We start from the raw sequence: 24434 nt of genomic DNA, 5'->3' as shown, positions 1-24434 counted from the left end.
TTTACCAATGAATTCCAGCTGGCTTAACTGGTGTGACAAGCTGGTTTGATTGTGGCCAGAAGGACTTAAAGCCCCCCTACTGAAAACTTCTCTTTGAGTTCTTCTGAAACTAAAATTCCTTGCACACATCTTGGTGGTTAAAGTTGGGCCCTGAGGAGCTTGCCTGCAATCACTTTCTCTTGCTACACTGTGTTCTTTGTCTTTAAAAGGCCTACAGGCATATATAGATGCTCCTCAATTTATGATAGGGTTATGTCCCAATAAACCTATTTTAAGTTTAAAATATTCTATGTTGAAAATGCATTTACTATACCTAACCTACCAAACATCATAGCTTAGTCTAGCCTACCTTAAATGTACTCAGAACACTTACTAATGCCTACAGTTGGGCAAAATAATCTAATATGAAGCCTATTTTATAAGAAAGTGTTAAAAATCTCATGTAACATTAAACACTGTATTGAAAGTAAGAAACAGAATACTGTATTGAAAGAAAGAAACTTACTAACACCTACAGTTGGGCAAAATAATCTAATATGAAGCCTTTTTGTAAGAAAGTGTTAAAAATCTCATGTAACTTATTAAATACTGTATTTAAAGTAAGAAACAGTATGGGTACTCAAAGTACAGTTTCTACTGAAAGTGTATCACTTTCACACCATCCATAAAGTAAAAAAAAATATTAAGTTGAACCATTGTAAGTCAGGAGCCATCTGTATTCTGGGAAGTCTGGTGAGTCCTTTCAAATATCCAAACTGGAGCAAACTTTGCAGAGGTAAAAAGGGTCAAAATATAATGAAAAAATAATATTTTACCTGGATGATGTAGCAATTACACAACCTATATGTGCCTAGAAATATAATCTTAACATACATAAGGCAGGCCAGGCGCGGTGGCTCACGCCTGTAATCCCAGCACTTTGGGAGGCCAAGGCGGGTGGATCACGAGGTCAGGAGATCGAGACCATCCTGGCTAACACGGTGAAACGCCATCTGTACTAAAAATACAAAAAAAAAATTAGCCGGGCGTAGTGGCGGGCGCCTGTAGTCCCAGCTACTCGGGAGGCTGAGGCAGGAGAACGGCATGAACCCGGGAGGCGGAGCTTGCAGTGAGCTGAGATTGCGCCACTGCACTCCAGCCTGGGCGACAAAGCGAGATTCTGTCTCAAAAAAAAAAAAAAAAAATACATAAGGCAAAAATATAGAAGAATTACTCAGAGGACAAATCTATAATCACTCCCCCTAGAAACTGTTAAATCAAGTACATTAAAATTAGTTAACATAGTTACATGGCGGAGTTGCATACATGTTCGCCAATAATCTGTTCTCTCTCTTTCTTTCGCGTCTCACTCTGTTGCCCAGGCTGGAGTGTAGTGGCGTGATCTCGGCTCACTGCAACCTCCACTTCCTGGATTCAAGTGATTCTCTTGCCTTAACCTCCCCAAGTAGCTGGGATTACAGGTGCACGCCACCACACCTGACCAATTTTTGTATTTTTAGTAGAGACGGGGTTTCACCATGTTGGCCAGGCTGGTCTCCAACTATTGACCTCAGGTGATCCACCAGCCTTGGCCTCCCAAAGTCCTGAAATTACAGGCGTAAGTAGTGTAGGGTTGTGGCTGGGAAAATTATGTAGTTTTTCTGCTCCTATGTTCACTTCTTGTGACTGTCTCTGCTTCCACAGCCAAGGCATGGGAAGATGGGGGAAAAAAAAAAAGCAACATATATTTCCCCCATGCTTTTGGGACCCAAGTCCTGGCCAGAGAGAAGAGCTCTCTTCCCTTAGAGTTTCAGGTGCTTGCACAGCTGCCACTGCCTCTATGTCTGTTGCTCCAGGGGATTGCCTGGGGGCAGCAATAAGAGAGAACAGAAAAGAACACCCCAAGGGATTTTCTTCACTCTGATCCTTAAAGGCTCCCTTTTCTGCTTTTTGGACCAGAATGAGAGGACTTCTCTTGCAGCTCTTTCTATTTGCACCTACTGTGGAGTTCTGGGTTTTGGGATGCTTTTGAATCTAAGGCCAGAAAATAGCGGGAGAGGAGGACAAAACTCACCAGTGGATTGATCTTACATTGAGTTCTGTTTTGTCTCTCAAACCAGTCTGCTATTATTTACTTTTTAGAGTCCCTAGATAACTGCTCCCTGCCTTCTGTGCAGGGTTTTTAGTTGCTTCATTGAATGAGGCAGGGTGCATCTTACTTCATCTTAACTGCAACCACCCACTGGAATCATTATCTTTTAATTGAAAATCAGTGGTTTTACATTTTGTTCTTCCAGAGTGCATTTAACATGAGCCCAAGGCATCTCTTCTTTCCTTAGCTTTTTCAATCTTCCATCAGGAATAAACATGAGATGATTTTTAAAAATTTACTAACTACACATATTCTTTTTCTTGTATATGGGCACAAGATACTAGAAGGAGAGGAAATCACTACCTCAGTGAACATGCATGTACTTCAAGACCTATTTGGAGTTTTTAAGAAAAGATTTCTTCACTCATTGCACCTAGGCTTTCAAATGGAAAAGAATAGCCTGAAATGCATTAGAGCAGCAAGTTTCTCATGTGAAACTTCATTTCCTGGCAGCCTCTTTCTGAAGAGACCAAGCAACATCCTGTGTTGCTCTGAAAGCATGGGGCAGCCACCCTAGGCTGTCAACCCAGCCAGGCTCCACTTCAAAGACTGACTACAGTGCTAGTTCAGCACTTAGCAATTAACATTGCACAGACGACATGGCTGACCTTTATTTTGAAAGTGTTTTTTACAGTTTCAGAATGTATCTAGAGAAAGAGCTTATAATATATTCTTCAGTTAAAAGCAACAAAGAGAAAACTTGCTTCTCATTTCCAACAGGGAATGACTCTTGTGTATAAAAAATTCAAAATTCAATAAACAACTATAAGGCATTTTTCGTATGTACACAACCACAATAAAAACACTGTCTTGAATTTGGCACAGCATAATTTCTTGAGAACAAAGAGCCATTATTATCACCATCACCACTACCACCACAACAAGGCAGGGGGCCAAGGAAGGGGAAGACAGAGAAAGAGAGACAGAGAGAGAGAGAATGTAATTTAGTTGATTGGGCCTTTTATGGTTTGAGAAATGATCATTAATTGCAGTTTGTTCTTAAAACAGTAGATGGCTCCTTAGACCTGAAATAGTTGAGAATATATATATATATATATATATATATATTTTTTTTTTTTTTTTTTTGAGATGGAGTCTTGCTCAGTTGCCCAGGCTGGAGTGCAGTGGCGCGATCTCGGCTCACTGCAAGCTCTGCCTCCTGGGTTCACGCCATTCTCCTGTCTCAGCCTCCCGAGTCACGCCCACCACCACGCCTGGCTAATTTTTTTTGTATTTTTAGTAAAGACGGGATTTCACCATGTTAGCCAGGATAGTCTCGATCTCCTGACCTCATGATTTGCTCACCTCGGCCTCCCAAAGTGCTGGGATTACAGATGTGAGCCACCGCGCCCGGCCGAGAATGATATTTTTGTAAGGACAGTGTAGAAATATAATTCAAATAGGGAAATCTGGTGCTGGGTCCTTTTACTAGAAAGGGAATCTATTGTACATTATGAGGTCAGGCAGTCAGAAATGTATTATCAGAACTTCCCAGAATTGGTGTTGTTGAGGGTGATTCAATGATAAAGAGTCATAAAATCCAATTTTGTTACCCTTTTGCCGTGGGATCTAGCATAACATTGTTGGTATTCTTGCCATGGTTGCAATTGTCTCTAGGGTCAGGAGATGCTTCAGTAAGCGCAGAACTCACTAGCCGTAACAGATGAAATAGGAAGAATTGCCACTAAATGAGCTCTTTTGAAAGAGTTGGAGTTATTTTCTGTTTTGGGAATGAGAAATAAGAGTATAGAATTTGGCAATATTAGCAAGATGAAACTTCCTCATGACACCATAAATTTATTCTAAATAAAAATGGAGAGGTTGAACAGAGATCTTTGGTTTTAATGCAAATGCCAGAGAATTACTTTGCAACAGAAGCTTGGGAAGCACTAGTTTGTAACCTTTTTGATGAGGGAATCAATATACTTGGAGGTGAAAGATTCATGCACACTTAGAAATAAGCAGCTGGGCCTCTGGAAGAACAGGAATGGGAAGTTGGGTCTACAGTCAAAGCAATAGGAGTGTCCTGCCCTTAATTTGACTCATTTAGCCTTTGCCCATCTGCTTCTATTTTGATAAGAAATATCTCCTTGATCCTCTGCTCTAATTTTTTAAATCTTCCTCCTAACTTCTGCTTACTCATAGTTTTGTTTCCCTCGTAATTTCTGTTTGAACATGGTCTGTCGTGGTTTTCTTGCTCAATTTCTACATTAGATCATCTCACTTCTGCTTCATTTTGTTGACCTCACCTTTCCTTTGTTATTTCCTTGGTTAAAATTCCTGAGGAAGAGAAATTGATGAGCTGATCTCAATTCTTGTCCCAGGACTCCCAGGACACATTGTATTTTGTTGGCAATTTTTGGTTTAACATTCTTTTGGGTCAGGTGTCCTCCCATATATCTGGCAAGGCTGGAAAGGATATAAAGCATGTTTGCATAAGTCCAGCTTCTTCTGCATGGTGAGGGACAGGGTAGAGGACCTAGAACCAGAAATTGGTTTATTTAGAACTATGGTGACCACATGTCCAAGTTTTTCTGGAAGATTCACAATTTCAATATGCTGTCTTGCATCCAGTGTAGTTTAGTATTTGTCTCAGGCTTTTCATTTTTTAATAAAATTTAAAAAATTAATACTTGTGGTGGTGGACATGGATATACATTGCCAAAATCTACCTTTCAGGAAGGATTTGCTTTCTAGCTGGTGGAGTGCAGTCAACAGAAACCTCCAGCTGTCAGCTTCTTTGGGATTTGCTTGAGCTGCAGTGAACTGCATTGTCGAAGGTCATATCTTTTCCAAGCCAGCCTGTGTCTGGTGACTGACTGAGGTGGGGGAATAAAGTCCTGGCCATTTCACCCTAATGGGGGAGGTCCCTGTATTAGTTTGTTTTCATACTGCTGTAAAGAAATACCAGAAACCAGTTTACTTATAAGAAAAGGGGTTTAATTGACTCACAGCTTCACAGACTATAAAGGAAGCATGGCTTGGGAAGCCCCAGGAAACTCACAATCATGGCTGGTGTTGAGTCCCTGTAGCTTTTCCAGGTGCACAGAGAAAGCTTCTCACGGATCTACAATTCTGGGGTCTGGAGGACGGTGACCCTCTTCTTGCAGTTCCACTAGGCAGTGCTCCAGTGGGGACTCTGAGTGGGGTCTCCAACCACACATTTCCCCTGCACATTGCCCTAGTAGAGGTTCTCCATGAGAGCTTTGCTCCTGCAGCAGACTTCTGCCTGGACATGCATTTCCATACATCCTCTGAAATCTAGGTGGAGGCTCACAAACCTCAACTCTTGCCCTCTGCACACCTGCAGGTTTAACACCATGTGGAAGCAGCCAAAGCTGATAGTTTGCATCCTCTGGAACAGTGGCCTGAGACATATTTGGGACCCTTTTAGCCATAGCTGGAGCTGGAGCAACTGGGATGCAGGGAGCAGTGTCCTGAGGTTAGGACCCTAACTCAGGGCAGCAGGGCCCTGGACTCAGTCCACAAAACCATTCTTCCCTCCTAGGCCTCTGGGCCTGTGATGGTAGGGGCTGCCAGGAAGGTCTCTGAAATACCTTTGAGGCATTTTCCCCAGTGTCTTGGCTATTAACATTCAGCTCCTCTTTATGCAAATTTTTGCAGCTGGCTTGAATTTTTCTCCAGAAGGTGGGTTTTTCTTTTCTACCACATGGTCAGGCTGCAAATTTTCTAAACTTTTATGCTATGTTTTTCTTTTAAATATTAGTTCTAGTTTCAGATCATCTCTTTGCTCATGCATATGACCAAATGCTGTTAGAAGCAGCCAGGCTACTTCCTGAATGCTTTGCTGCTTAGAAATTTCTTTTGCCAGATACCTTCAATCATCACTCTCAAGTTCAATATTCCATGGATCCCTAGGGTAGGGTACAATGCTGCCAGTCTCTTTGCTAATGCATAACAAAAGTGACTTTTGCTCCAGTTCCCAATAAGTTCCTCATCTTCATCTGAGACCCCCTCAGCCTGGACTTCATTGTCCATATCACTATCAGCACTTTTGGTCACAACAATTTAGCAAGTCTCTAGGAAGTTCCAAACTTTCCCTCATCTTCCTGTCTTCTTCTGAGCTCTCCAAACTGTTCCAACCTCTGCCCATTACCCAGTTCCAAAGCTGCTTCCACATTTTCAGTTATCTTTATAGCAATGCCTCACTCCCAGTAACAATTTTCTGTATTAGTCTGTTCTCGCACTGCTATAAAGAAATGGCTGAAACTGAGTAATTTTTAAGAAAAAAGGTTTAATTGACCACAGCTCTGCAAGCTGTACAGGAAGCATGCCTGGGGAGGCCTCAGGAAACTCACAATCATGACAGAAGGGGAAGGGGAAGCAGGCATGTCTTACATGGCTGGAGAAGAAGGAAGAGAGAGAAGCAGGGGTACTTTGCACTTTTAAACAAGCAGATCTTGTGATAACTCACTCAACACCACAAGAACAGCAAGGGGAAAATCTGCCCCTGTGATCTCCCACCAGGCCCCTCCAACACTGGGGATTACAATTTGACATGAGATTTGGGCAGGGACCACAAATCCGAACCATATCAGTGCTGCATTCTGACTGGTAATATTTGCTCCAGAGATCTTTACCATGTTGACCAAGCCTTTGTCAGGCCTGCATCACAGTTCAACTTCTGCCTCATTTGGTCTCTCAACCCTTCCTTCACAGGTATTTATCCCTTCTAAACATCTTATACCCCAAACTCTATCTCAGCATCTACTTCTAGAAAACCTAACTTGTGGTGGTTGCTAGCAAGAGTTGTCTGAAAAACCAGATGGGGTTTTGAAACTGGATGACTCACTGCCTGTCTGGTAAAGAGGACCCCATATTGGTGGTGAGTGGAGCACAGACAGCCCATGGTACTTGCTACAACTCATCAGTGGTGAATTGGGAAGGTTTGTCAGAAGGGAATGCACTTGCAGATGCACTGTATCAAGTATTTAAGAGTTTTAGATAAATTTTGCAGATATAAGGAAAAATTGATTGCTTGCTTATTGCTAAGAACCACAGATGCTCTTCAGGAAGAAAAGGAACCACTGAGTGTAAGTAATACACACTTGAAAGCCAGGTGTGAAAGACAGGGTGCCTCTTCAGGTGCAGACAAAAAGCTCTCATCTCCTACAAAGGCAAAGCAAACAAAGCTGAGGGCCAAGCTGGGACTTAGTAATAGTCTGATTGCTGAACTTCAAAGAAGATTAAATGCCCCATCAAGGCAGGTATGTTATGCCAAGGTCAGGCCTCTGTTTTGGAAGACCTCAGAACCTGAACTGTAGGATGGAGATATTTGCATGACTGTTCTCAAAGATTTCGACTCCCCAGACACTTTTGAACCTTTTGAATCTACAGAAGAGGTCCACCCATTTCTAGTAAAAGCTAACACCCCCCTGTGTTAGAAAACAATGTGAAGTCTTCTCCTTTGAAAGACAAAGAAGATCTGCCCCTGTCAGGATCTGCCCCTACCTGCCTTTCTAGCCACTGAATCTTTAACTCAACTCTCAGTACACCTCAGCTAGGGATGTGCTGGGACTGATAAAGGAGGAAATGGACATATCTCAAAGGAGCTGCAAGACCTAGGTAACATGTACCAGGAAGAACTGGGGAACATATATAGGCCTGGATTTGACAGGTGCTTGATCAAGGGAACAGAACATAAAATTGGATAAGAAAGAGTTTATTGATTTGGAAGTACTCTCCCAAGATCAAAGTTTGCTTTCCTTGCAAAGTCCTCAGAGATGGTGAAAACTTGCCATTAGGATACATGGAAAAAGCGATGGCCCATGCTGAACATGGGCCCATGCTGAACAAAGATGAAATGCCATGACTTCTGTGGCAGATGACAGAGGAAGGGATTAGGAGACTCAGGGAAGTTGGCATGCTGGAGTGGGGATACTGGAAGACTCAGCAGATGATTATGTTTCATATCTTTGTTGTAGCACCCAAGAATATGACTGATTTTAAAAAACTGTGATAAAATACCATAAGTTTACCATTTTAATCATTTGTAAGTGTACAGTTCAGTGGCAGTAAGGACATTCACATTGTTGTGCAACCATCACCACCATCCATCTCCAGAACTTTTTAAAAAGCTTCCTAAACTGGAACTTTGTATCCATTAAACAATAATTCACCATTCTCTTTTTCACCCCTAGCCCCTGAAAATCATCCTTCTACCTCTGTCCCTATGAATTTGTCTGCTCTAATTTGATTACCTCATAAGAGTGGAATAATATATTTGTCCTTTTGTGACTGGATTCTTTCAGTCAGCATAATATCTTCAAGATTCATTCATATTGTAGCACATGTCAAAATTTCCTGCCTTTTTAAGACCGAATAATATTTCATTCTATGTACACACCACAGTTTGTTGCCCACGGATCTATCAATGGACACTTGGATTGCTTCCACCTTTTGGCTTTTGTGAATAAGGCTGCTATGAACATGGGTGTGCAAATAACTGTTTGAGACCCTGCTTTCGATTACTTTGCGCATATACTCAGAAATGGAATGGCTAGATCATATGGTCATTTTAAATTTTTTTCAATTGTGGTAAAATATATATAATACCTAATTTATTATCTTAACCACTTTTAAATGTATAGTTCAGTGATATTAAATGCATTCGTAATGTTGTGCAACCATCACCACCATCCATCTTCATAACTCTTTTCATCTCCTAAAACTGAATTCTATACCCATTAACAATAACTTCCCATTCCTTCAGCCTAGTTCTTGGCAACCACCCTTCTACTTTCTGTCTCTAAGATTTTGGCTACTCTAAGTACGTCATATAAGTGGAGTCATGCAGTATTTGTCTTTTTGTGACTGGTTTATTGCACTCAACATAAGGTCCTCAAGGTTCATCCATGTTGTAGCATGTGTCAAAATTTCCTTCCTTTTTAAGGCTCAATAATAATCCATTATATGTACACACACCACAGTTTTCTTATCCATTCATCCACTGATAGACATCTGGGTTGCTTCTACATTTAGGCTATTGTGAATAATGTTGCTGTGAATATGAGTATGCAAATATCTGTTTGAGGCCCTGCTTTTAATTCTTTGAAAATTGATAGATCATATTGTAGTTCTATTTTTAATTGCTTGTGGAACCACCATACTTTTTTCCTACAGTGGCTGTACCATTTTGCATTCCCAGTAACAGTGTATAAGTGTTCTAATTTCTCCATATCCTTGCCAATACGTACTATTTTCTGTTATTTTATTTTATTTTTTTTGAGACAGAGTCTTGCTCTGTCACCCAGGCTGGAGTGCAGTGGCATGATCTTGGCTCACTGCAGCCTCCACCTCCCAGGTTCAAGCGATTCTCCTGCCTCAGCCTTCCGGTAGCTGAGATTGCAGGCACGGGCCACCACATGCAGCTAAATGTTTTTTTATATTTTTGGAAGAAAGACAGGGTTTCACCATGTTGGCTAGGCTAGTCTGGAACTGCTGACCTTAAGTGATCCGCCTGCTTCAGCCTCCCAAAATGCTGGGATTACAGGTGTGAGCCCTGGTGCCTGGCATCTTTTCTGTGTTTTGATAGTAGTTATCCTAATGGGTATAAGGTGGTATCTCATAATAGTTTTGATTTGCATTTCTCTGATGATTAGTGATGTTGAACTTCTTTTCATGTGCTTTTTGGCCATTTGTATATGGAGAAATATCTATTCAAGCCCTTTGCTTATTTTACATCCTTTACCTATTTGCAAATGTTTTTGGTTTTTTGTTGTTGAGTTGTAGGAGTTCTCCATATATTACAGATATTAATTATCTTATCAGATATACGATTTGCAAATATATTCTTCCATTATGTGGGTTGCCCTTTCTACTCTGCTGATACTATCGTTTGATGCATATAATGTAAACATTCTCATGAAGTCCAACTTATCTATTTTTCATTTGTTGCCTGTGCCAGTGATCCAGCATTTTGAGAAGCTGAGGTGGGAGGACAGCTGAAGTCCAGGAGTTTGAGACCAGCCTGGGCAGCATAGTGAGACCTTGTCTCTACAAAAAAATAAACAAAATTAACTGGACATGGTGACACATCCTGTAGTCCCAGCTACTCAGGAAACTGAGGTGGAAGGATCACTTGAGCCCAGGAGTTTGAGACCAGCCTGGGTGACATAGTGAGCCCCTGTTTCTTAAAAAAAATTGGTGTGTTTTTTGGGGTAAAGAGGATCCAAAGCTTCCTACTCCACCATGTTGTGACATAACTCCCTAGAATTTGGCCATTTCATCTAGGTTACCTAATTTGTTGGTGTATAATTGTTCATACTGCTTTCTTATAATCCTTTTTATTTCCCTTTAAACCATTAAAACAATTTTTATCTTTAAATTTTATTCTTACTATATATATTTAAGGTATAGAACATGATGTTCTGATATACGTATACATAGTTAAGTGTCACGCCAATTGACCTACTCATCATCTCATACAGTTACATTTTTGTGTGTGTATGTGTGGTAAGATCACCTAAAATCTACTCTCTTAGTAAATTTCAGTATACAATTCATTATTATTAACTATGGACCTCATGCTGTAAATTAGACCTCTAGAATTATCCTACATAATTGCAATTTTGCACCATCTGAGCAATCTCTCCTCAATTTTCCTTCCCTCCCCACCTGCTTCTGGTAGCCACCATTATACTCTCTGTTTCTATGTGTTTGACTTCTTTATAGATGCTGCATATAAAAGAGACCATATAATACTTTTCACTCTGTGTATGGTAGAATCTCCTTTTTAAAGACTGAATAATAGTCACATATATGAACATACAATGTAAGAATATTTATATATATTTATATCTCACAATTTCTTTATCCAGTTATCTGTTGATGGACACCTAGGTCTTTCCTATATCTTGGTGATTGTGAACAATGCTGCAATGAATGTGGGAGCACAGATATCTCTGTGAAGTGCTGATTTCATTTCCTTTAGTTATATACCCAGAAGAGGGATTGCTGGGTCATATGGTAGTTCTATTTTTAGTCTTTGAGGAACCTTTATTCTGTTGCCTAGACTGGAGTGCAGTGGCACAATCTTGGCTCACTGCAACCTCCGCCTCCCAGGTTCAAGCAATTCTCCTGCCTCAGCCTCCTGAGTAACTGGGATTACAGGCATGCGCCATTACACCTGGCTAATTTTTGTATTTTTAGTAGAGATGGGGTTTCACTATGTTGGCCAGGCTGGTCTCAAATCCCTGAACTCAAGTGCTCTGCCCGCCTCGGCCTTATTTTTTATAGAGGCTTTACTAATTTACATTTCCAACAACAGTGTACCGGGGTTCACTTTAAAAAAATATCCTCACCAACACTTACTGTCTCTTGTCTTTTTGATAACATCCATCTTAACAGGTATGAGGTCATATCTGGTGGTTTTGATTTGCATTCCCCTGATGATTAGTGACATTGAGCACATTTGCACATTTTCATATGCTTATTGGCCATTTTTATGTCTTCTTTGGAGATATGTCTATTCAGGTCTTTTCCCCATATTTTGATTGAATTATAATTTTCTTTTTTGCTATTGAGTTTTTTGAGTTCCTTATATATTTTGGATGTTGACTTCTTACCAGGTATATGGTTTGCAAATATTTTCTTCCAATTCATAGGCTACCTTTTTATTTTACTGGTTCTTTTCCTTTACTATGGAGAGTTTTTAGTTTGATATGGACCCCATTTGTTCAATTTTGGTTTTGTTGCCTCTGCTTTTGGTTGTCCTATCCAAAAAATATATTGCCAAGACCAAGGCCCAGGAGATTCTTCCCTCTGTTTTCTTGTAGGAGTTTTATAGTTTCAGGTTATACATCTATCTCTTTAACAAATTTTAAGTTTTTTTTGTATATAGTGAAAGATAATGGCCCATTTTTATTATTTTACATGTGGATATCCAGTTTCCCAACAGCAATTATTGAGGAGGCTGTCCTTTCTCCATTTTATCTTCTTGGTGCCCTTGTCAAAAAATAGTGTGCTATGCAGCCTCCAACTCCTGTGACCCTAGATAATTCTTTTGCCTTTTTCTGCCATTTGAGGACACAGAAAAAGGATGGTTTTCTATTATCCAGGAAGCAAGCCCTCACTAGACTCAAATATGCCAGCTCCTTTATCTTGGACTCCTCAGTCTCCAGAACTGTGAGAAATAAACATTTGCTGTATAAACCACTCAATATGGTGCGGTTTTTGTTATAGCAGTTGAATGGACTAAGACAAAGAGTAATATTAAGAAGTAGGGTGCTGCTGTAATAAATACCTAAAAATGTGGAGGCGGCTTTGGAATTGGGTAACAGTAGAGGGTGGAAGAGTTTTTAAGGAGCATTTTAGCAATATGGATGTTAAGGGTGATTCTAGTTAGAGTGCAGAAAGAAAAGAGAAGAGCTGGAAGGAAAGCCTCAATCTTCTTACAGAATACTGTCAGAGCACTGGGCACTGATTACCAAAGCCAAGGAAGGACTCCAATTACATGGAGGATGGCAAAAGTCATCAAAATACCAGCCACCAGGAATAGAAGTCCCAACACTTCTGCCCACTGCAACTTGGTATCAGAGTCACCAAGGAAAACACAACACAATAAATTACTGGATGGAACAATACTTCACTCACACAGAGAAAAGACAGAGGAAGATCAGCTCTCATAGTATGCACTGGTCTGTCATGGCTAGTGGGTCACCCCAGTAGCCGACACAGGGCAATTGGCCTACGTATACCTTTCTTGTGCTACAGTAGAAGGACCCCTCTCCTCCCCTGTGCTGTCTGAAATACTGAAAGCTGTAGGCATGCTTTAGGGCCATTGATGTACGTACTTCAGCAAAACAAAGGAGTGTACATTGAGCTTGAAACAGGGAAAGATATTCCCACACAAGGCAATATGCCTATGACAGAATGAATGGACCCTTTATCTCTTGATAAGGAAATATTCCAGGCCCAAGGCCCATTATTTTGCAGATGAGTGAGGGGTCAAAAAAGACTACATGCATAAATTGTCCTTCCCAACAAATCCCTAAGTATGATAAACTGAACGTTGGTAGAAACATGGACGGTAAAGGCCATTCAGATTAGGTCTTGATGGAAATAAGGAACATGTCATTGGAAACTGGAGGAAAAGTAATACTTGATATAATGTGACAAAGAATTTGGCAGAATTATGTTTGTCTCTTGGCGTTTTGTGGAAGGTAGAACTTGTGAGCAATAAAATTGGATATTTAGCTCAAGATATTTCTAAGCAAAGGGTTAAAGGTGGGGCTTGGCTTTTCATGACTACTTTTGTAAAATTCAAGAAGAAATAAATGACTTAAAGACAGAATTTTTAAGGAAAAAGAAAGCAGAACTCAAAGACTTGGAAAATCCTCCACCTAATCATATTGCAAAAAATTAGAACACTAACAGAGTGTCCAAGTGACTGTTTGATAAGGAAATTATTATAAATAAGCCATCTCAACACAAGTCAGATGCTATTCTTTAAGACAATGGAAAAATGACCCTGCAGGTGATTCAGAGATCATCAAGGCTGCCATTCCCATCATAGGCCACAGTGCACAGGCCCAGTGGCATGGTTGCTTCAACCTAGGTTTCAAAGGATGAGGCTGCCTGGAGCCACGGGTGTGGGACCCCAGACCAGGAGAGCTGTGGGGCTCTGGCAGATAACTGTTTTGGGGATGGGGCTCAGGCAGAGAGCCACTGCAGGGCCCTCCTTTCAAGTAGTGAGGGTGAGGTTGCCACTCCAATGGACCTGGAAGGCAGAGCATCTATTGCAAGAGGATTATTCTTCGGTCTTTAAGTCTTTTACTATGAGAAGCAAGGAGGTGGCCATCTATTAAACAGGAAGTGGGCCCTTACCAGACACTGAGTATACTGATGTCTTGATATTGAACTCCCCAGCCTACAGGGGTATTTGTTGTGTAGGCTACACAGCCTATGGTATGTATTTTTGATACAGCTACATAAATGGACTAAGACAGACCCATTGGTTGTTTAACAATGTGTTAATTTCCACATATATATGATTTTTTAAGTTTTTTTTTCCTGCCGTGGATTTTGTTTCATTTCATTATGATCAGAAGAGATATGTTGTATGATTTCCATCTTTTAAAATATTTTAAGATTTGTTTTGTGGTCTAACATGGTCTATACTGGAGAATGTTCCATGTGCTCTTGATAAAATGCATATTCTGCTGTTGGATGGAATTTTCTATATATATATCTGGTAGGTCCAATTAGTCTATAGTGTTCAAATTTAAGTCCTCTGTTTCCTTACTGATCTTCTTTCTTGTTATTCTATCCACTATTAAAAGTAAGGAATTGAAGTCTCCTCCTATTATTTTAGAGCTGTCTTTTTCTCCCTTCAATTTTTTCCATTCTTCACATATTTATGGGGTCTGATGTTTGGTGCCTATATGGTTATACTGTCATGTGCTGCATAACAATGTTTTGGTCAACAATCTACTGAATCTATGGCGGTGGCCCCATAAGGTTATAATACAGCATTTTTTACTTGACCTTTTCTATGTTTAGATACACAAATACTTACCATTGTGTTACAATTGCCTGCAGTATTGAGTACAATAATATGCTGTATATATTGGCAGCCTAGGAGCAATGGGCCGTACCATATAGCTTAGGTATGTAGTAGGCTATACTTTCTAGGTTTGTGTAAGTACAGTTACACTTTGAATGCCGTTCACAGGATGAAATCCTCTAATGATGCATTTCTTAGGATGTATCCCCTTTGTTGAGTGACACGTGACTGTAATTGTTATATCTTCTTGGTGAATTGACCAATTTATCATCACATAATTTTCTTCTTTACCTTTGTAACAGTTTTCAACTTAAAGTTTATTTTGTTTGAGATTAATATAGCCACACCAGATCTCTTTCCGTTACTAATCATATGGAATATCTTTTTCCATTCTTTTACTTTCAACCCATGTATGTACGTAGATTTAAAATGAGTGTCTTATAGAAACCATCTAGATGGACCCTGTTTTTTTTTTTTTAATTTAAAATTCATTCTGCCAGTCTATGTCTTTTGATTGGGGAGTTTAGTTCATTTATATTTAAAGTAATTACTGATAGAGAATGACTTTACTATTGCTATTTTGTTATTTGTTTTCTGCATATCTTGTAGCTTTTTTGCTTCTCATTTCCCCTATTACTGCTTTCTTTTGAGTTTACTTGATGTTTTATAGTGACATGTTAGATTTCATTCTCATTTCCTTTTTTGTAAATTCTACAGATTTTTTCATGGTTTTCATAAGGATTACACATATTATTCTAAAGTTATAACAGTCAATATCAAACTGATACCAACTTAATTTCAACCACATGAAGAAAATCTACTGTTTTATAGCCCTCCCAGTTTTTTTTTTTTTTGAGATGGAGTCTCACTCTGTTGCCCAGGCTGGAGTGCAGTGGCACGATCTCAGCTCACTGCAAGCTCCGCCTCCCAGGTTCATGCCATTCTCCTGCCTCAGCCTTTCTGAGTAGCTGGGACTACAGGTGTCTGCCACCATGCCCAGCTAATTTTTTTTTTTTTGTATTTTTAGTAGAGACGGGGTTTCACCATGTTAGCCAGGATGGTCTTGAACTCCATGATATAGTTTGACTCTGTGTCCCCACCCAGAATTGTACTAATCCCTAGGTGGATTGTAATAATCCCTATGTGGCATGGGAGGGACTCAGTGGGAGGTAATGGAATCATGAGGGCAGGGTTTCTTGTGCTGTTCTCATGATAGTGAATAAGTCTCATGAGATCTGATGGTTTTATAAAGGGGAGTTCCCCTGAACATGTTCTCTTGCCTGTTGCCATGTAAGACATGACTTTGCTCCCATTTGCCTTTCATTGTGATTGTGAGGCTTCCAAAGCCATGTGGAACTGTGAGTTAATTAAACCTCTTTCCTTTATAAGTTACCCAGTCTTGGGTATATTTTTATTAGCAGCATGAGAACAGACTAATACATTGCATTTTTATATGTTGAATACCCATTAACATAGATCTACAATTTTAATGTTTTTGTCATTGAAATGCTGTAGGAGAATAGGAAGTAGAATTACAAACCAAAATTACAATAATATTGGTTTGTATATTTTTTCATGTACTTACCTTTACCAGAGAACTTTATAGTTCCATATGGCTTTAAGTTACTGTTTAGTGTTCTTTCATTTTAACTTAAAAGACTTTCTTTAGCATTACTTATAGGACAGGTCTAGTGGTAATGAATTTTCTGAGTTTTTGTTTAACTGGGAAAGTCTTAATTTTTCCCTCATTCATGAAGGACTGCTTTGCCAGATATAGTATTCTAGGTTGACAGCATTTTTTTTCTTTCAGCATGTTGACTATATCATCCCACTACTTTCAGGCCTGTAAGATTTCTACTGAGAAACCTGATGATAATCTCATTGTGGATACTTTGTATGTGACAGATTGCTTTTCTCTTGCTGCTTTAAAGATTTTCCTCTTTGTCTTTGGTTTTCAACAGTTTGATTATAAAGTATCTGAGCATGAGTCTCTTTGGATTTATTCTACATGAACTTTGTTGAGCTACTTGGATTTGTAGATTCATGTATTTTCTCCAATTTGTAAAGGTTTTGGCCATTATTTCTTCAATCTCATTGCTCCTTTCTCTCTTTCCTCTCTCTTTAGGACTCCCATAATGCATATTTTTGTATGCTTGATTTTTACTCCATTGGTCCCTTAGGTGCTGTTCAATTTTATTTATTTTTCTTTCTATTCCTCAGACTGGATCATCTCTACTAATCTATTCCTGAATTCACAGATTCTTTCTCTTGCCTGATAAAATCTGCTGCTGAGCCTGTCTAGTAAAATTTTCATTTTATTTATTGCACTTTTCAATTACAGAATATTTAATTGGTTCTTTTTAAAACATAATTTTCATCTATTTATTTATATTCTCTTTTGTTTTGGACATCATTCTGTGCTTCCTTTATTTCTAGACATGGGAGTCCTTTAGCTCTTTGAATATATTTAAAATAGTCAATTTTAAGGTCTTTCTCTAGCAAGTTCTATGTCTGGGCTTCCTTGGGGACAATTTCTATGAGTTATTTTCATTCTGTATATGGGTTATTCTCTTGCTGAGAAGTGGACATTTTGAATCCTATAATGCAGTATCTCTGCATATCTGATTGTCTCTTTTCCTTATGATTTGTTGTTGTTGAAAGACTGTTTTTGTTTGTTTAGTGAATTTTCCAAACTAATATTTTAAAGTGTATATTCTTTGTTATGGGTGGTCACTGAGTCTTTGTTCTGTTAACTTAGTGGTGAGTGAATAATTTGAGAGAGATTACCTTAAATTTCTAGAACAAAAAAACCTAGTCTTTCCAGAGTTGTTTCATATATGCTTTGGGACAAATCTATAGCACTCTGCCAGGCAGTTGACACTTCTGTTTTGAAGTCAGGATAGGTAAAAGGCTTGGACCTTCTTTTTTTTTTTTTTTTTTTTTTTTGAGACGGAGTCTCGCTCTGTCGCCCAGGCTGGAGTGCAGTGGCGGGATCTCGGCTCACTGCAAGCTCCGCCTCCCGGGTTCACGCCATTCTCCTGCCTCAGCCTCCCAAGTAGCTGGGACTACAGGCGCCCGCCACTATGCCCAGCTAATTTTTTGTATTTTTAGTAGAGACGGGGTTTCACCGTTTTAGCCGGGATGGTCTCGATCTGCTGACCTCGTGATCCGCCCGCCTCGGCCTCCCAAAGTGCTGGGATTACAGGCGTGAGCCACCGCGCCCGGCCGGCTTGGACCTTCTTAGGTCTTTCTTGAGCATATGTACAATCCTTGACATATGTGTGACCTTCTAGATTTCCAGGAATATGTCAAAGCTTTCCAAAGCCCTTATTCCCCGAAGCATCACATTCTCAAGCCTTTTACTTCAAGCTTTTTGATTAGTCTATTGCTTGCCCTGACTGTTTATCATTGCCTCAGGCAGATGTGACTAAAACATTTGCTTTGTTCAGATGCTTCTCAATTTATGATGGGTTTATGCTCTGACAAACCCATTGTAAGTTGAAAATATCATGTCAAAAAATGTATTTAATACACCTAACCTACTGAATGTCATAGCTTAGCCTAGGCTACTTTAAATATGTTTAGAACACTTATATTAGCTTGTGGTTGGGCAAAATCATCTAACACAAAGCCTACTTTGTAATACAGTGTGAATATCTCATGTAATTTATTGAATACTGTACTGAAAGTGAAAAAAAGAATGGTTGTATAGGAGATCAAAGTAGAGTTTCTACTGAATGTGTATTGCTTTTGCACCATCATGAAGGAAAAAAAATTCTATTGAACCATCTTAATTTAGAACTGTCTGTAAATGTTTTCAACCAATGCCCTCTATAGTGTGTTTAGCACTGGATGAGTTCCAAATTAGTGAGGTAAATTCAAACCCATTGAGCTAGTTTTCCAGGCAACCACCAGATAGACTAAAATGTACAATTCTTTGTAAATTAATGAGATCTTCTATGTTTCCTCTGGTGGTAGAAATGTGTGTGGTTATTTTCAAGACAGCAAGTGAGGGTATTACAGTAAGGTGAAACATCACAAAGCTTATTATTCATATTGAGATTCAGTCTTTTTTTCCTGAATGAGCACTTCTCAGATTGCTGCAAGCTTTTGGTTAATTTTCATAGCTCTGGTTTTTTTCCCCCATTTGTTCCCATTTTTTTTTAAAATTTATTTATTTATTATTATTATACTTTAAGTTTTAGCTACATGTGCACAATGTGCAGGTTATATGAAAGAGGAGATTTCAGAATTCCTTACTTGCCATTTTTGCTGACATCTAGGAGCTTTTATTTTTAATTCAGCAAATTATTATTTTGTGCACTATTCAAATTAAATTGAGAAAGCCTATAATTGTAATATCTACATTTGGTAAAATGTTCAACGTAATCATAATTAGGATCTTATTAGATGAGTTTTGGCTTGTAAAAATATTTTTTGAAGAAAATTATCCTGAATGATACAAAGAGGACAAGACTTATAAAAATATTTGCCTGAAACATTTATACATTTCAAAAGGAAAAATTTAGAATTGACAATATCTTTCTTTTCGAAAAATTTGTTTGAGTTTACTGGGTAAATCAGCACCTGTAGAGAGCATATTTTCTCAGTTAAAAATTTGATCTAAAGAGAGGAATAAATTAAAACCATTAAAAAAGACAGGGTCTTGCTCTGTTGTGTAGGCTGGGGTGCAGTGGTGCAATCACAGTTCTCAGCAGCTTCAAGCTCCTGGGCTCAAGCGATCTTTCCACCTCAGCTTCTGGAATAGCTAGAACTACAGGCGCATGTCACCACATTTGGCTAATTATTATTATTATTATTTTGTAGAAACAGGATCTTGCTATGTTGCCTAGGCTGGTCTTGAACTCCTGGCGTCAAGTGATCCTCCTGCCCTCAGTCTCCCAAAGCACTGGGATTAGATGCATGAGCCACAGTGTCTGGCCATGAGTTAATCAAAGGTGTCAGAAATTTCAAATCTCTTAACTGCATAATTCAACTTTATAAAAATTGCAGGTAATTTTTTTTTGTCATTTGCCTGTTTTTTTTTTAAATTATCATTATACTTTAAGTTCTAGGGTACACGTGCACAACGTGCAGGTTTGTTACATATGTATACATGTGCCATGTTGGTGTGCTGCACCCATTAACTCATCATTTACATTAAGTATATCTCCTAATGCTATCCCTCCCTCCTGTCCCCACCCCACAACAAGCCCTGGTGTGTGATGTTCCCCTTCCTGTGTCCAAGTGTTCTCATTGTTCAATTCCCACCTATGAGTGAGAACATGCGGTGTTTGGTTTTCTGTCCTTGTGATAGTTTGCTGAGAATGATGGTTTCCAGCTTCATCCATGTCCCTACAAAGGACATGAACTCATCATTTTTTATGGCTGCATAGTATTCCATGGTGTATATGTGCTACATTTTCTTAATCCAGTCTATCATTGTTGGACATTTGGGTTGGTTCCAAGTCTTTGCTATTCTGAATAGTGCCACAATAAACATATGTGTGCATGTGTCTTTATAGCAGCATGTTTTATAATCCTTTGCATATATACCCAGTAATGGGATGGCTGGGTCAAATGGTATTTCTAGTTCTAGAACCTTGAGGAATCGCCACACTGACTTCCACAATAGTTGAACTAGTTTACAGTCCCACCAACAGTTGAAAAGCATTCCTATTTCTCCACATCCTCTCCAGCACCTGTTGTTTCTTGACTTTTTAAGGATCGCCATTCTAACTGGTGTGAGATGGTATCTCATTGTGGTTTTGATTTGCATTTCTCTGATGGCCAATGATAATGAGCATTTTTTCATGTGTCTTTTGGCTGCATAAATGTCTTCTTTTGAGAAGTGTCTGTTCATATCCTTCGCCCACTTTTTGATGGGGTTGTTTGATTTTTTCTTTTAAATTTGTTTAAGTTCTTTGCAGATTCTGGATATTAGCCCTTTGTCAGATGAGTAGATTGCAAAAATTTTCTCCCATTCTGTAGGTTGCCTGTTTACTCTGATGGCGGTTTCTTTTGCCGTGCAGAAGCTCTTTAGTTTAATTAGATCCCATTTGTCAATTTTGGCTTTTGTTGCCATTGCTTTTGGTGTTTTAGACATGAAGTCCTTGCCCATGCCCATGTCCTGAATGGTATTGCCTAGGTGTTCTTCTAGGGTTTTTGTGGCTTTAGGTCTAACATGTAAGTCTTTAATCTATCTTGAATTAATTTTCGTATAAAGTGTAAGGAAGGGATCCAGTTTCAGCTTTCTACATATGGCTAACCTGTTTTCCCAGCACCATTTATTAAATAGGGAATCCTTTCCCCATTTCTTGTTTTTGTCAGGTTTGTCAAAGATCAGATGGTTTTATAAGTGTGGTATTATTTCTGAGGGCTCTGTTCTGTTCCATTGGTCTCTATCTCTGTTTTGGTACCAGTACCATGCTGTTTTGGTTACTATAGCCTTGTAGCATAGTTTGAAGTCAGGTAGTGTGATGTCTCCAGCTTGTTCTTTTTGCTTAGGATTATCTTGGCAATGTGGGCTCTTTTTTGATTCCATATGAACTTTAAAGTAGTTTTTTCCAATTCTGTGAAGAAAGTCATTGGTAGCTTGATGGGGATGGCATTGCATCTATAAATTACCTTGGGCAGTATGGCCATTTTCAGGATATTGATTCTTCTATCCATGAGCATGGAATGTTCTTCCATTTGTTTGTGTCCTCTTTTGTTTCGTTTAGCAGTGATTTGTAGTTCTCCTTGAAGAGGAGAACTCTTGGTCCTTGAAGAGGTCCTTCGCCTTCCTTGTAAGTGGGATTCCTAGGTATTTTATTCTCTTTGAAGCAATTGTGAATGGGAGTTCACTCATGATTTGGCTCTCTGTTTGTCTGTTATTGGTGTATAGAAATGCTTGTGATTTTTGCACATTGATTTTGTATCCTGAGACTTTGCTGAAGTTGCTTATCAGCTTAAGGAGATTTGGGGCTGAGATGATGGGGTTTTCTAAATATACAATCATGTCATCTGCAAACAGGGACAATTTGAGTTCCTCATTTCCTAATTGAATACCCTTTATTTCTTTCTCCTGCCTGATTGCCCTGACCAGAACTTCCAACACTATGTTGAATAGGAGTAGTGAGAGAGGGCATCCTTGTCTTGTGCCTGTTTTCAAAGGGAATGCTTCCAGTTTTTGCCCATTCAGTATGATATTGGCTGTGGGTTTGTCATAAATAGCTCTTATTATTTTGAGATATGTCCCATCAATACCTAATTTATTGAGAGTTTTTAGCATGAAGGGCTGTGGAATTTTGTTGAAGGCCTTTTCTGCATCTATTGAGATAATCATGTGGTTTTTGTCTTTGGTTCTGTTTATATGATGGATAATGTTTATTGATTTATATATGTTGAACCAGGCTTGCATCCCAGCAATGAAGCCCACTTGATCATGGTGCATAAGCTTTTTGATGTGCTGCTGGATTTGGTTTGCCAGTATTTTACTGAGGATTTTTGCATCGATGTTCATCAGGGATATTGGTCTACAATTCTCTTTTTTTGTTGTCTCTCTGCCAGGCTTTGGTATCAGGATGATGCTGGCCTCATAAAATGAGCTAGGGAGGATTCCCTCTTTTTCTATCGATTGGAATAGTTTCAGAAGGAATGGTACCAGCTCCTCCTTGTACCTCTGGTAGAATTTGGCTGTGAATCCCTCTGGTCCTGGCCTTTTTTTGGTTGGTAGGCTATTAATTATTGCCTCAATTTCAGAGCCTGTTATTGGCCTATAATTGCAGGTAATTTTTAATGAAAGTGTTGACAGTAGTATAACCTACTTGAAAAAGATACATTTCTTAGGTTACACAGTATATTAATTTTCAAGGGCTCCTGTAGCAAATTACTACAAAGTGGGTGGCTTTGAAAAAACCTAGAAATGTATTCTTTCATAGATCTGGAGGCTAGAAGTCTAAGATTAAAGTATTGGCAGGGCCATGTTTCCTCTGAAGTCTCTGGAGAAGAATCCTGATGGTATCTTCTAGCTTATAGTGGTTGCCTGTAGTCTTTGGGTTTCCATAGCTAGTAGGTGCAACACTCCAATCTCTGTCTCCATCTCCAAATGGCCATATCCCCTGCACATCTATGTCTCTATGTCCAGATTGCCCTCTTTGTGTAAGATAACAATGTAACGTTAGTCATATTGAATTGAGGGCTTTGATCCAGCATGACCTCACATTAACTGGATTACATCTAGGAAGACCCTATTTCCAAATAACTTCACACATTTAGAGCATCTGGGTAGATATGAATTTTTGGAAAACATAATTCAGCCAGTGCACATGACATTAGAAACAAATGTCAGCTGAGAAAATTATTAAATACATAAGTATATCAAGAACACTTATTCTGTTTATGTCATCTTTAATGTTTAGGTCATCAGTAAAGAGGGTTAACATTTTTAAAATTTAAATTTTATTTTACTTTAAGTTCTGGGACACATGTTCAGAACATGCAGGTTTGTTACATAGGTAAACGTGTGCAATGGTGGTTTGCTGCACCTATCAACCTGCCACCTAGTTATTAAGCCCTGCATGCATTAGCTATTTGTCCTTGCCTCTCCACCCCCGACACACCCCAATGTGTGTGGTTTCCCTTCCTGTGTTTATGTGTTCTCATTTTTCAACTATCATTTAAGAGTGAGAACATACAGTATTTGGTTTTTGGTTCCTGTGTTAGTTTGCTGAGGATGATGGCTTCCAGCTTCATCCATGTACCTGCAAAGGCCATGATCTCATTCCTTTTTATGGCTGTATAGTATTCCATGATGTATATGCACCACAATTTCTTTATCCAGTTTATCATTGATGGGCATTTGGGTTGATTCCATGTCTTTGCTATTGTAAATAGTGCTGCAATAAACATATGTGTATAGGTATCTTTATTTTATTTTTGGAGATGCAGTCTATCTCTGTCACCCAGGCTGGAGTGCAGTGGCACAATCTTGGCTCACTGCAACCTCCACCTCCCAAGTTCAATCAATTTTCCTGCCTCAGCCTCCTGAGAAGCTGGGACTACAGTTGCATGCCACCTCGCCCTGGTAACTCTGTACTTTTAGTAGAGATGGGGGTTTCATCATGTTGGCCAGGCTGGTCTTGAACTCCTGACCTCAGGTGATCTGCCATCCTCAGCCTCCCAAAGTGTTGGGATTACAGGCGTGGGCCACCATGCCTGGCCCTTGCATGTATCTTTATAGTAGAATGATTTCTATTCCTTTGGGTATATACCCAGTAATGGGATTGCTGGGTCAAATGGTATTTCTGGTTCTAGATCCTTGAGGAATCACCACACTGTCTTCTACAATGGTTGAACTAATTTACATTCCCTCCAAAAGTGTAAAAGCATTCCTATTTCTCCACAGCCTCGCCAGCATCTGTTGCTTCTTGACTTTGTAATAATCACCATTCTGACTGGCGTAAGATGGTACCTCATTGTTGTTTTGATTTGCATTTCTCTAATGATCAGCGATGTTGACCTTTTTTCATATGTTTCTTGGCCATATAAATGTCTTCTTTTGAGAAGTGTCTGTTGGTATCCTTCACCCACCTTTTGATGGGGTTGTTTAATTCTTGTAAATGTGTTTAAGTTCCTTATAAATTTAGATGGATCAATTGCAATAATTTTCTCCCATTTTGTAGTTTGCCTGTTCACTCTGATGATAGTTTCTTTTGCTGTGCAGAAGCTCTTTAGTTTAATTAGATCTCATTTGTCAATTTTTGCTTTTGTTGCAATTGCTTTTGGTGTTTTCAT

General features: G+C 39.2%; 1 long non-coding RNA gene across 3 annotated transcripts in view, besides 1 other annotated feature; it reads right to left on the bottom strand.

Annotated features, from left to right (window-relative positions):
* Positions 1-3561: 3561 nt before the first annotated feature.
* LOC105379172 (uncharacterized) overlaps positions 3562-24434 on the bottom strand; it is a 48658-nt gene continuing 27785 nt past the window's right edge. Inside the window, exon 5 of one of the 3 annotated variants that reach the window (XR_007058928.1) lies at positions 3562-3851. This is a non-coding gene — a long non-coding RNA (uncharacterized LOC105379172). Of the gene's footprint in view, positions 3852-19973; positions 20013-24434 lie in introns of those variants that run through there. The other 2 variants (XR_948781.2, XR_948780.1) reach the window with 2 other exon arrangements.
* Positions 7088-7646: an enhancer, noted in NCBI's record as "NANOG hESC enhancer chr5:130400159-130400717 (GRCh37/hg19 assembly coordinates)". NCBI's record gives its function as "activates a minimal SCP1, AML or CMV promoter by ChIP-STARR-seq in naive H9 embryonic stem cells {active_cell/tissue: H9 hESC(naive)}" and the evidence as "EXISTENCE:reporter gene assay evidence [ECO:0000049][PMID:30033119]".

The sequence above is a fragment of the Homo sapiens genome, chromosome 5, assembly GCF_000001405.40.
Source record: "Homo sapiens chromosome 5, GRCh38.p14 Primary Assembly".
In the NCBI taxonomy this organism is placed as follows: Eukaryota; Metazoa; Chordata; class Mammalia; order Primates; family Hominidae; genus Homo; species Homo sapiens.
Note: the sequence above shows the minus strand (reverse complement) of the source record. Positions and strands in the feature narration are given on the sequence as shown.